Source organism: Homo sapiens, chromosome 7, assembly GCF_000001405.40.
Source record: "Homo sapiens chromosome 7, GRCh38.p14 Primary Assembly".
Taxonomy (NCBI): domain Eukaryota; kingdom Metazoa; phylum Chordata; class Mammalia; order Primates; family Hominidae; genus Homo; species Homo sapiens.
This window is the reverse complement of record NC_000007.14, coordinates 50,098,901-50,113,707: the sequence shown is the minus strand read 5'-3', so window position 1 is coordinate 50,113,707 and position 14,807 is coordinate 50,098,901. Positions and strand designations below refer to the sequence as shown.

Below are 14,807 nucleotides of genomic sequence, written 5' to 3'. Positions count from 1 at the left end.
GTTAGACTTCTTACTAGATACCGTTCCGCAGTAACTGATGCTTTATTTTGAAGCTTTATTTTCTCTCTTTTCGTTTTGAATAGTTTATGTTGCTATGTCTTTATTTTCACTGATCTTTCATCATGCAAGATCTGCTCTGTTCTTAAAACTACCAACTTATCTTTTACTTCAGATGTATTTTTCATGTCTAGAAGTCCGTTTGTATCTTCATATCATCCCTTGTTCTCATCATGGTTGTGGCTGTCTCTATGATCTGAACATATGAAACAGATTTGTAATAGCTGTTTGAATACAATAGCTGCTTGGTCTTCTATGTCTGTCACTCATAGATCTGTTATTATTGACAGATTTTTCCCCTGGGTGATATTTTTCTGCTTCTTTGCATGAAAAGTAGTTTCATTTTATTTTTTAAACTGAGAACTTATTTTGGACTTTAAGTTGTTGGTTGGTTGCTGGAAGTTGTTTTATTCTTAAGTTTTGGATTTTTTTTCCAGCAAATAAAGTAATTGGAATCAGTCGGATGCTTTTAAAATTTGAGAAAGTCCAGAGGAATCTTTAAAGTTGGACTAGTTAAGCCTGACTACAAAGGTAATATCCCTTTGAAGATCTGACCTGATGTACCTATGTACTATAAAGTTTTTTATTCTAGTTTGTGGGGACATAAAACGTTCCCTGTCCTGTTTGAGTTTCAGGGAAAGCTTATGCCCACTTCTTTACAGTGGGTTTTTCCTTAGCTTTAGTAGTTCCTTTTATGTTTACATAGATCAGTACCCAAAGACCTGAGCGATCTCTTTTGCATATCTCCAAAGCCCCACTGCTCCTCCACATCCGGATAACTCCCTCTTCTCTGCTATCTTACCCTGCAAATTCTACATTCCTTGGCTTCCCAGAACTCTAATCTCTCTCCTCAATCCAACAAGAATGTAAAGCTATGTTTGGGTTTCACTTTCCTGGGCTGTGGCTTAAAAACTGCCCCCAGGAAGCAAGCTGGTGTAATTGCAGGGCTCACATCGTTAGTTTCCCTTCTTTAGAGATCCCAGTCCTTCAGTGCCTTTGGCCAGTGTCTGGAAATGATTATTTTTTATAATTTGTCCAGTTTTCTATTTGGCTAAAGCAGAAAAGTAGCTTGAGTGCCCGTTACTTCATCTTCTCTAATTTATTCATTACTTTGCTTATCATTTTTTTATTTTTCTTTTCGTGCTTTCTTTTGATTTACTTTGCTGTTCATTTTGTAGCTTTTCACCTGGGAAGGGTGCTACTGGCATCTAGTGGGTGAGGTCAGGGGTGTTGCTAATCATCCTACATTGCACAGGATAGTCTCCTTCAGCAAAGATTTATGAAGCCCAAAATTCTGACCATGCCAAGGTCCAGAAACCATGGTTTAACACATTCTGTTCCACTGCTTGGTTTTTGCTCTTCAGGACCTCCAATTATATGTATATTGTTTCTTCTTTGTTTATCTTCCACTTCAACCATCTTCTCTTTAACACTTTTAAATATTCTTTATCTCATGTTCATTCTCTTGAATATTTTTTCATTTTTTATTCAACGTCCTTTGTTAAATTTTGGTTTTCTCTGTTTTTCCTTTGCACCATTTAATTATTATTCCAAGATAATTTTGTATTATTTTTTGTCACTGATTTGTATTTAATTTTTGGATTTCTGTATGAAGGCAGACCTTTATAATCTCAAAGGCTTATTTGAAAATATGTAATTCAATTTGTAGTGGTGTAGTACAATGTTTCATTTACTGCTAAATAGTTGACGTGGGAGTAATTGTCTTCACTAGATTGTTTTGATTCTTGTATTTTGTTTTATTACGGTTGGTTGAATTTTGAATAGATTTATTTTATTTTCTTCTATTCATTTTGTGGATTTTGTGTGGTTTGCAATATTTTTAATTTAATGGTGGTCTCTCTGTCAGTGTAGCAAAATACACTGTCATGTTGATACAGGAGCTAGAAACAAATTATTTAAGTAGATAGTAAGTGCAACAGAATCCTTGACAGGGTTTCCCTTTTAACAAAAAGCAGCACCCAAATCATTTCTTTTCTAACAAAGATCAGCCTGAAAAATCTAGCTGTAAACATAGATAAGTATGCTCGAAGTTTGCATGTGTGAATGCTGACAGCTGTGCCAATAGGGAAGGGCTACCAGGAAGCCAGGTATATTCAACATGGAGGCTCCATCTTCCCTTTTCTTTGTCACCACGTGTACAGTAAAAAGTAAGCAACATGGTGCCAGCCAGGTAGAGAACCCATCTACATAATAAGATTAGGGTGGCATTGGCCAGATTCTCATGTGCTATGCAAATGGAACATCTGGTTCAGTCAATCTTGTGTGCCCTATGTAAATTAGACACCACCTCCTCAGTCTCATCTACAAAACCTGCATTTCACTGCAGAAGCAGGAACCCATTTTCTCCAGGAAGCCTCTCTGTGCAGAGAGCTCTTTTCTTTCTTTTGCCTGTTAAACAACCACTCTTATCCACAGTCTGATGTGTCTTAGTTTTCCATGGCCAAGGGACAACAAATCTCGGGTATTACCCCAGACAATGACACCATTTCAATACATATATAACATAATATAATATATATATATAACATATACACATATAATATAATAGAACATTTTATCATATATATGATAATATAACATCATATATAATAAATATATAATATACATTTTATATATAATAAAGATATTACATATATATTTATTATATATATTAGCTGATGGTTTACATATTATAAATATATATTTATATTTTACATATTATATATTAGCTTATGCTTTTTATATATAATCATATATTATGTAATAATATATAGTAATATAGTATAATATCTAATTATATATTATAATATATAATATATAATATGATTATATATTATATTATATATGTTAGATATCATATTAGTTATAATTATACATTATAATCTATATCATATAACATAACATATTTATATATAATATTTAATATAATATATGCAATATATTATATAATAATATGTATATATAATGTATTATATGATATATGTGATGTACACACATTATATAATATATTTATATAATATGTAGTATATATTATACATAAATATTAGTATATACTATGTCAAATGTAAATGTAGTAAATATTATATATAAATATAAGCATATAATATATATCAAATATATAAATATAATGTATCAAATATATAAATATAATGTATAGCACATAATATAATATATAAAAATATATATCACATATACAATATATAATATATAAACTATATACAACATATTAAATATGAATATATTATATGTTAAATATGTAATAAATAAATATATATAAGAACTCCTGTTGTAATCTATCATTGCTATGTAGAAAAGATCTGTCAAGCCTTTGAAGGTAATCTGTGTTTTTTTCCCCCACCTCTGGCCGCTTTTAAGATATTATCATTGATTTTGGTTTTATGCAGTTTTTCTCTGGTTGATTAGGTCTTTACTTTTTAAATTCTTCTGTATTTTGTTGCTTTCAAATAATATTAAATGAAGAAATTTTACATTTAAAAAATTTATTAACTATTTTCATTTTACCACATAATTAAATACAAGCTTTATTTATTCAGATATGGAATTACAAAATATTCAAATTGACTACAGCAGAATTGATCCTCAATTCCCAGAATTTTATGAATGATTGTGTACCAAAAAATCCAGTAAAACTTACTTTATTTATTTATCAGTTCTTTTACTCCTAAGCTTCTTATAAAAGTATTGTTTTATGAAAGTAATAGTGTTCTAAATTTGAGAATATAAATGAACATTATTCAAATTAATGTCAATGTTGTATCAACAATATCAGTGCTGTATCTATCAGTAATATTGCATCAGAAAAATTACAGCTTATTTTACCAGCTTATTATTTTGGGTTATTCTACATATGCAGAAATTATTAGATTGCAATTTGAGGTAGATATAATAAAAATATATAATCTCTTTGATTTTGACCCTAGTAACCAAAACAATTACCTTATTTTAAAATAGTGTTGGCCTGGCATGGTGGCTCACACCTGTAAACCCAGCACTTTGGGAGGCCGAGGCGGGTGGATCACTTGAGGTCAGGAGTTCGAGAACAACCAGGCCAACATGGTGAAACCTGTCTCTGCTAAAAATACAAAACATAGCCAGGCGTGGTGGCACATGCCTGTAATCCCAGCTACTCGGGAGGATGAAGCATGAGAATTGCTTGAACCCAGGAGGTAGAGGTTGCAGTGAGCTAAGATCATGCCGCTGCACTCCGCTGGGGTGACAGAGCAAGACTCTGTCTTAAATAAATAAATAAATAAATAAATAAATAAATTAAACTGTGTTAACTTGATCAAATGCTGCCTCTGACACTTAAAGGAAAACATTTCTTATTATTCTTTAGGCTAATATTTATTTCATGAATGAAGTTGTGTTTATCTCCTTTTCTAAAATATAAATATTTTCAACATAAAACTATTTCTGAGCCATAAATAGGTAAATTCCAGTGAAAATGGTTTATTCTTTGTAAACAAGTAGGCCATGAGAACATTTTATATATCATAAATCAATCTTAATGGGGAGGCTTTATTCACTTTTATTTCAAAAACATAGTGCAATACTAAAGCAACTGGTATGAAAGTGCTTAATTAGCCAGAGGCAAAACAAGCCTGAAATTAAGTGCTAGTAATTTATGTAAGTTTCCTAAAATTTAAACAGGTGTCTAATAACAGCAGCTATGATATGACCTGTCTAAGGTGCTAAGACGTGTTTTGTACTATACATCAATTCATATATTTTGCTTGTGTCCTAAGAGGCATTTTACAACCCAATCCCCTGTACTTTGATAACTGAAATAACTACATTATGGTCATTTCAAACTTCTATTGAAATGTCATTAACTTTTTTCTAATTAATTATGTACATGTTTCAAATAGATAAAAATTTATTTCTTAAGTAGTATGTTTGAAACTAATATAGTAATTTCTGACAAAAATATCAGGGTAGGTACAATCAATGTAAGTATCACTGTTGATAATAACTCCCATCAGCTGGAGTCATCATAGTCTGAAATACACCAGTTTTTATTGCCCTTTATCAAAGAGACAACTACTTTTTCTAAACCTGTGTTTAATTCTTCTCTAGCAGTATCTGAAATTTATGTCATATTTTCTATAGTTGACATGCTTGTTGACTATTATCTTGGTGTGCTATATCATGATAGTATGGCATAATCTTTCAGGGGAATCTAGATTTTTCTCTAATATAGCATCTCTTCCACTTTCTGATTATATTCCTACAAACTCACTTGTGTATGTTATGTATCTTCAGTTTATTTATAAAATGTTTTCATTTCCAGATACTCAAATTTATCATCTACCTAATTTCCTTGCTGTCTGTCTTCACTTTCTAGTGGCTATTTTCTTGCTGGTGCATCTTCTCTCTATTGCTGTCTTCTACATGTTGTGTGTCTACTATTTCATAGAGAAGGGACTAAATTTGCTCTTTGATATCTTTACTATTCTTGTAATCTGATTCAGTGGGAATCTCTACTTCTAACTCTAAATGTTCCTTAGTTTCTTCTAATAAAAGTAATCACATTGAAGTAGAACTTCCTTTATGTCCTAATAAAACTTTAGCACCATCAGCATCATTAAATGCCTCAATTTCCAGAATTGCTTCATATTTAACAAGACCTGACAAAATATGGCACTGACGTCCAGATTCCAAATAATGCAATTACCATAAACTATGTTGAAAAATGAACTTTCAGATTTTTCCTTTTTCCATTCTTATGTTCTTCCTGCTTTGCCTCCTTTAACTTGAGACTTTTTCTGCCACTACTCTTGGTGCTGGGGCTGAGACTGCCAGAATGCTTCTGTTGCTGTCACCTTTGGCTTGTTTGTTTGGAACCATAACTCATCCTCAATGTGCAGCAGAGAATGTAAGGGGATGCCTCAGGGAGATATCAGAAATAAACACGCAGTGGATATAAAAATCGTATCTTAGCTTGTGTTCTATTTCTTCTCTCTTACGCTTTTGGGATTCCAAATAAGCATGTGTTATTTTTTCTGCCTATATTTCCTAGTTTTGTGACTTTCACTTCTGTATTTTTCATATTTTTGTATATTTGTGCTTCACCATAGTTTCTTCTGATTTATCTACCAGTTCTCCAATTCTCCAATTACCTCTCTAACTGTATCTAATCTATTACTGAACCCATCTATAAAGTTCTTTGTTTATTGTATTTTTCAGTTCTGGAATTGCTTTTACCCCCAATTTTCTTTTTTTTTTTTCTTTTTCTTTTCTTTTCTTTTTTTTTTTTTTTTTTTTTTTGAGACAGAGTCTCATTCTGTCATCCAGATTGGAGCGTGGAGTGCAGTGGTGCTATCTCGGCTCACTGCAACCTCCGCCTCCTGGGTTCAAGCAATTCTCCTGCCTTAGCCTCCCAAGTAGCTGGGACTACAGACACGTGCCACCACACCTGGATAACTTTTGTATTTTTAATAGAAATGGGGTTTTGCCATGTTGGCCAGACTGGTTTCAAACTCCTGACCTCAGGTGATCCACCTGCCTTGACCTCCCAGACATGTGCCACCCCACCTGGATAATTTTTGTATTTTTAATAGAGATGGGGTTTTGCCATGTTGGCCAGACTGGTCTCAAACTCCTGACCTCAGGTGATCCGCCCACCTTGGACTCCCAAAGTGCTGGGATTACAGGTGTGAGCCACCGTGCCTGGCCTAATATTTGTATTTTTAGTACAGATGGGGTTTTGCTATGTTGGCCAGACTGGTCTCAAACTCCTGGCCTCAAGTGATCCTGCCTTGGCCTCCCAAAGTGCTAAGATTACAGGTGTGAGACACCATGCCTGGCCCCTTCCCCAGTCTTCTAATTTCCATTTGGTAATTTATAATTTTTTTACAAAAATTGTGAGCTCATTTTTTTCTCCTTCAACATTTTACGCATATTTGCAACATATGGACTCAGTGTGTATCTGTTTCTGTTTTCTTTCATTTCTGCTGATTCTCACTCATAGTGTACTTTCTCCTTATGTATTTGGATATGTTAATTATGTGATGAACATTACACTTTAAAAGTGTTTAATGAAAATACTTTGAGGTTTAATAAGATAATATCTTCCTTCAAAGAAAAATGTTATTTACTTCTGCCTGATTTCTGGAAATGAGAGCAGTCTAGGATCACCTTCATCCTAGTTCAGGACTTGAAGTTTTCTTATTTACTTGGATTAAGCTAGGCTGCAGTCTGTTCAAGTGCTTTTTACTATTGACCTATCCTTACTTGGAGGGTTCAGGCCTCCAGGTATTCAGCCCACAGTCATAGGTGGCTTGTATGGATCAACTCCAACTTCTGATCTTTTACTTCTATGAGACCACCAAAAGTTCAAATCAAACTTTTGGTTGCCTCTTCAAAAATTGCAAATTCTTTCAGTGTCACAGTGGCCCTAAGTGCTAGGCTTAAATTTTAGAGAGTCTATCCTCTTGTTGGCCCAGTAATTTCTCTCTACCTTATTAGAAAAAAGGAACATTAATCCAGTTGTTTTGCCATTGGAAATATTGGTCCATATTACTTAGCTTCCACTACTGGAAATAATATCTAGATTTATTCACTGCTATAAAAAGTCTAAACTTATTTTAGATTTAAATAAATATGCTAATAAGCCTTTCCATGACAAGTTCCTACTTCAGAATTCTAGTTTTAAAATAGTTAAAGCATGGAATCTTGCCATAAATTTGTAGCATAGGTTTTTTAAAAAGGCAACAAGGTCTTCAGTTTCTTATAAGGTTCACTTTGATTTGCTCTCACAGGATTTACCTGCAGGACCAATGGATCTCTTGTTAAGGATTTCAAGATAGAATAAATAAAATTAATAAATAAAAATTTTCATTACCCTTGCAATCACATTATGCATTTTGTCTAAATTCAGAATAGCCTAGAACAGGCAAAATTGCCACTATTTCTAATACCATAATTTTCTTATAAAAGAAAAATGCACAGGACAAAGAAAAACATAAAGTCCTACCATGTGTGTGACATCTTGAGTAAAGGAGGCATTGAGGACATATACTTTAAATGACCTTTCTGTTTCATGCCCTTTGTTTCATGGCCAGGTACCATAGTACAGCTGTTAATATGTGAGAGGTATGCCCCATTTCCCTTTGTAGTAAACTAGAAAGAGTTATTGTGAAGGAAAAGGTGAGAAAAAAAGAAATCAACATGGCACTATACAGGTAAATTCTCAGGCAGATCAACTTTAGAAGAAATATATATAGGAGTTACAGAAATGAAAATTGATTCTTTACAATGTATTCATACCTTTACTGCTAATGAATATGGGTTTTCTTGAGGTAATAAAAATCTAAAATTAGATTGTGGTGATGGTTGCACAACTCTGTGAATATTCGAAGAACATTGAATTGCACTCTTTAAGGGGTTGAATTTTATCATGCATGACATATATCTCAATAAAGCTGTTTTTTAAAAATGTTTTTATATCTGTGTATGTCTTAGGATTCTTTAAGTATCTCAATTTAAATGTCAAGGATTTAGAGACTATAAAATCTACACAGGAAGATGATTAAGAACATAATCCTCAAATTCTGAAAAATATTTAGGTTTAAATTTTGGTTTTATATTTATTATCTGTCTTATCAAAAGTCAGTTACTTAACAACATTGGGCTTCTGTTTTCTCAAATAATATGACAATAACAACACTACTTGTTAAGGAGCAGGGATTCAGAGAGGATTGTTGTTCCAGTGATATATTGTGGGAATGCTCTCAGGCCAAGGGGAGGGAAGACAGAAGAATAGGAGAAGGAAAAGAAGCTAGTGAGAATGCAGCTGGAGAGTAGCATTAATCCGTTGCTCTAAGAAGTCAGTCAGTCACTGGCCAAAATCTGAAAGAGACAGCATGAGAAGGTGCAGTCCTCCAGTCTGGTGGCTGTTAGCCTTTCAGTGGTCATCACTCATTGCTACTGGGAATAGACACACTTGCCAGTGAAGGAAGTCTGTGATGGGCACCAGCTGCATCTACTACTCACTCCTCCCCCATGGTATTGTGGGAATGGTGCAAGGTAATGCATAATAGACATTGATTGCAAGGGTCTGCACAGTACCTGGAACATAAGAAGAACTATATACATAGTAGCTGTTCATCTAAGGCATACAATATCAAATAACTAAACAATAAAATAAACTAATTATATATATATAATACAATGAAATAAACTAATTATATATAACACCACCCAGAAGAAAATCTTACTGTACATGTTGCCTCCTCATCAAATGTAAATATGTGACTTAATGAGCGTCCTTCATGATGAGGTTGTAAGGGAGTAACTTTCAGAGGGCTTGTCCAACCTGAAAACACAAAAAAAGCGAATGGGATTTTGGTTAAAAACACAATAAAAGTTCTTTTTCAACAGAAATATTTACTATTAGAAGCTAGACTGTGTGATCGTAATTCATTTTTTAATGGATTATTTAATAACTTTTCTGGATCTTTTAGCTGTGAGAACAGAATAGCTCTGGAATTTCTATGTGAGCCGAATTACAATAGTGCAGAATCACTTGTTATTTCTTACTTATTATTAGAAGATACCTATTTGGTACTATACATCTATGTATGTGCACACAGACATGTTGGGGATGGTGATGACACAAGAGGGGTCTGGTTATTATGCAGATAATTCATATAATGATAGATTAGAAGTCCTAAAAAACTAGCAAATTATAAAAAGCAGCCTTCAAAAATATTTAGTACACTGTAATTGGAAGCTTTTATATAAAGATGAAAAACAGGGCCCCTGGTTTTGAGGTGTCCATAAGCAAATGGAAAGTACAAACATATAAGTAGATAATCTCAATATGGTGTGGCAATACAGCAATAGCTGAGCTCAGAGTGCTGTGGGGGTGCATAGGAAGGATACCTAAGAATACCTAGTCTAACCAGGTTGTCAGGGCTTAGGGACATCTCCCCAAAGATAACACTTGTTATAATCTTGACAATTAAAGTAGAACTTGGATGAAAAAGGAGAAGTAGAGGAAGGGTAGTTGTTCCAGGAATGGAAACAGTATGTGCAATGGTAGTCCTGCTCTGTGAGAGCCTCTTAATGTTAGGTATAGCCTCTTAAAAAATGTTAGGTATAGCAGATTGTAAAATGGTAGATAGGAAATGGTAGAAGATAAGCAAAAGAAATAGTCCAAGGTCAGGGCATGAAAACCTCAGACTCAACCTGCAGATGGATTGCCGTTGAAGGGTTTTAATAAGAGAGATAGATTACTTTGGTTTGGGCAGGTGACTAGCATAGGTGAAGATAATTGGGGTGCCTCTGGTAGTTTCCATAGAGATCGATTCTCCTATCCCATGGGGGCTTCAGATTTGGTCCCCTACTTCATAGCTTTGTTCCACGAATTAATCCAACTTGGCAAAATGTAAAATTAAAAGTTAAAATTTGAGATCAGGATGGACAGCATAGAGATGTTGAAGCATGAGAGAGATGCATTGTGAGAGGTGCTTAGGGAAGGATAGGAGCTCCATGGTCATCTGTGGATGCCACCCTGGTGCAGCTCTATCACAGATGCCACCTATCTAATATTATATATATTATATATATATATAAAATATATGATCTTATATACTTACAAGTATATACATTATATATTACATATAATATATACTTACAAGTATATACATTTTATATATATATAAGTAATGTATATACTTATTGCTGGGGTTCCAGAGTGACCTTCATGAGTTATTCGACCCATCTGAGCTTCATTTTCCTAACCTTTAATGACTATTGTCAGAGTTATAAAAACTATAATTAATGAACACAAAGAAATAAGCAAACTATGGCATGTAGTTTAAGTGCTCAACATTTTTATTAGTTAACAATTAGTGGTTGTAATATCATTAGTATTTTTAGTACTAATGTAGTAATACTATTTTCATGATGATGATAATGATGATGATTGATGATAATTCAGTCAATATTTGACTGAGAAACTCAGGACAGAATCTGAAATGGGGATTTTCAAAGGAGGAATAGAGAACAAGTGTATGCTGGATAGTCTGTGGCTTTAGAAGGGCCAGTTAGAGAACAGAGTGTCAGCGGACCTCAGTGCACTATTGTTGACTTTGAAGCTTGAGGTGATCATATGAGTAGGATATGGGTAGCCTCTAGGAGCAGACAGAGTCCCTGGCTGACAGTGCATGAGGAAATAAACAGTTTAGATGGAAGAAACTGGATTCTGCAACAATCTGAATGCGCTTGGAAGTTGATTTTTCCCCAGACCCTCTAGATAAGAATCAAGATAACACCTTGATTTTGGCTTTATTTATTTATTTGAGACACAGTCTCACCCTGTTGCCCAGGCTGGAGTGCAGTGGCATGATCTCTGTTCACTGCAACCTCCGCCTCCTGGGTTCAAACAATTCTGCCACCTCAGCTTCCTGAGTAGCTGGGATTACGGGCACGCGCCAGCACAACCAGGTCATTTTTGTACTTTTAGTAGAGACGGGGTTTCACCATGTTGGCTAGGCTGGTCTTGAAGTCCCGACCTCAGATAATCCGCCTGCCTCGGCCTCCCAAACTGCTGGGATTACAGGCGTGAGCCACGGCTGCGCCCGGCAAATTTTGGCATTATTATTATCATAGATTCTAAACAGAAGACCGAGATGACGTTCCCCAGACTTCTGATCCACAAAGCTGTGATTAACGGGTTTCACTTTAAGCTGGAAAGTTTGTGTCAATTTATTAAAGCAGCAAGAGAAAACTAATACAGACACAGAGGTGAGAGGCCAAAGCAAAGGGAGGAAAGGAATGCTGAATCCCATGGTCATTTCAGTTTTAAGAACCATGAGGATGATTCTGTCTGTGACAAGCTGGACCAAGGAAACTCTCTAGAAGTCTATTGTGCCACAAGCAACAGGATGGCATTTTGTGGTATCTATCTTATTTGGAGCCATTCAAACAACTGCTTTGAAAAAGTAGGAAATTAGGAAAACAATAAAACTTGAATTCTAATATTAAGCCAGATTAGAAGAAAGGACTCTGGACGATGAATTACACCGCAGAGTCATCAAATTTAAGACTAAGTTTGAGGTTATCCTTTCCTCCACTCCGTTTCAGTATCTACTATTTGAAAAACAAACAATTCTAAAACCTAATGGCTTAAGTCAACCATTTATTCTCTCCCAGGATTCAGAAGATAGTTGGGGGTGGTTCTTTCACATGGTGTCAGTTTCAATAGCTGCAAAGGTTCAAAAAAGGCCTCACTTACATGGCTGGCAAGTTGGTGTTGACCATTAGCTGGGGGCTTAGGTGGGCACACTGGCAAGTGTCTTGTATTTGTTTCTGTGGGCATAGGTTGGTCTTTCACAGGATAGTGACTGAGATCCCAGATAAGACTCTGAAGAGGACTAATCCCAACGTGCAAGTGCTTATCAAGTCTCCATTTGCATGATGCTTACTAACATATAATTGGCCCAAGCCAGTCAAATGTCCAGGCCCAATGTCAACATGGGAAGTAAACAGAGTTTATCAGTAAGAGTGGCAGGCACACACAGGAACAGGGTGAATTGCTGAGGATCACTTTTGGACCAGCTACCATTCATCACTTCTTCATAAATTTAAAAAGGTTAAAATCATACAGTGTCTTTTCCAGTAAAAATGAAAAGAAACTAAAAATCAACAAAAGAAGGGACACTGGAAAATAAACAGATATATAGAAATTAAACATGATGCCACAAAACAAAGGATCAGATAAGAAATCATAAAGGAAATGGGAAATTATCTTGAGAAAAACGATTTTATTTTATTTTCATATTTATTTATTTATTTATTTATTTATTTATTTTTGGACGGCATCTCACTCTGTCGCCAAGGCTGGAGTGCAGTGGCACGATCTCGGCTCACTGCAAGCTCTGCCTACCAGGTTCACGCCATTCTCCTGCCTCAGCCTCCCGAGTAGCTGGGACTACTGGTGCTCACCACCACGCCTGGCTAATTTTTTGTATTTTTAGTAGAGACGGGGTTTCACTATATTAGCCTGAATGGTCTCGATCTCCTGACCTCATGATCCACCTGCCTTGGCTTCCCAAAGTGCTGGGATTACAGGCGTGAGCCACCGTGCCTGACTGAAAAATGAAAATTTAAACAACAAAATTTATGGGGAATGACCTTAGCAAGATGGCAGAGTAGGAAACTCTGAACTTCCTCTCCCCAATTAATAAACTGATTCAGCAACAATTCATGAACAAGTTACCTTTGTGAGAAATACAGAAACTGAGTGAAAGGCTCCTGCACCTTGACAGAATGCAAAACAGACGCACTGAAGCTGATATGGAGATTTGAGTTAGTCACCCTCTTGCAGATTCCCTGCCCCTGGTGCAGTACCAGACAATCAGGAAGAGATTTCCTAGCTCCCAGATTCATTCAGGTTGTTCTCCCCTCAGTTGGTTCCCATGTTTAGCACCCCAACTTTTCCAAGGGAGCTCCCCAGAGGACTGGCTTCTGTCTTGCCAGTCTGGGAGCCCTGAGGGGTCTGGTACAATCTAATGATCCAAGAGTGAACAGAGATTGCATTCTGGACTGGTGGATAGCACAGACTCTCCCATATGCTCAGCACAGAGTAAGCAGATTTTAAATAATCTTCTCTCTCAGCCCCCTAGAAAAAGTTGATTCATTCGTGTCCAGCACCCCAACTTCTCGGTAGTTGCCTAAAGAACTATGATTTATCTCACCAGTTCTGGAACTCTGATGAATCCAACATAGTTTAACCCCCTGGGGGAAGATGGAGAAGGTAGCCTGGGCTTGTAGATGCCACAGATCTAGATCTAGAGATAGTCGCCATAGATCCAAGAGTTGATCCAGGACCCCAGCTTCTCTGGGGCTGCTCCAAAAACAGCATCTGTCTTATCAGTCATGAAACTCTGATGAATCTGGCACAGTCTAGTTGCCTATGGGATAATGGAAATGGGAGTTTGGGCTAGTAGACACCATAGCTCACCCTCTCCTCAGCACAGAGCAAGTGAACAAAAATCCCATCTCTCAGATTCACTTGGGAAGGAAAACAGTTGGCAGAGGTTCCCAAATCTCTGGCCAGGCTGAAGGGTGAAGGTCTTCTTCTTTACAAGACCAGGTCATGAAGAATGAAAGAAGTGCCTGCTTTGCCTAATGTGGAAACACCTACACAGAGAGTCAAGGAAAATGAAGAATCAGGCAAAGATCCTCCAAACAAAGGAATAAGATACATTTTCAGAAACCAATCCTAATAAAATAGAGTTAAATAACATACCCCACAGAAAACCGTCACGAAAATGCTCACCAAGGTCAAGAGAATCATAAATGCAGGAAGAGATAGACAACAATACAATAATAGTAGGATATTTTAGTACCGCACTTTTAATGATGAATAGGACATCCAGACAGGAGATCGATAAGGACATAGAGGACTTGAATAACACATAGACCAAATAGACCTAATACACACAGAAGTTTTGGACATATACTACAACAGGAGTGAACCTGAAGGACATTACGGTAAGTGAAATAAGCCAATCACAAAAGACAAATAATATGTGATTTCGCTTAAGTGAGGAACCTAAAGTAGTCAAAATCATAGATAACAGAAGATATAACGGTTGTTGCCAGGAGTTCATAACCCCTGGCAGGGAGGGAAATAGGGGGTTGTTTAATGGGTAAAGAGTTTCAGTTTTGCAAGATGAAGTGAATCCCAGAGATGGATGGTGGTGATATTTGCACAGTAT

The 14,807-nt window shown here is 35.8% G+C and overlaps 1 protein-coding gene across 3 annotated transcripts in view; it reads right to left on the bottom strand.

Annotated features, from left to right (window-relative positions):
• The window catches only part of SPMIP7 (sperm microtubule inner protein 7), a 63,374-nt gene that overhangs the window by 45,549 nt on the left and 3,018 nt on the right, over positions 1-14,807 (bottom strand). For all 3 annotated transcript variants that reach the window (NM_001161834.3, XM_011515052.2, XM_011515053.3), the window contains exon 2: positions 9,297-9,394. In NM_001161834.3, the coding sequence (NP_001155306.3) occupies positions 9,297-9,394 (98 nt within the window). The remainder of the gene's footprint in view (positions 1-9,296; positions 9,395-14,807) is intronic.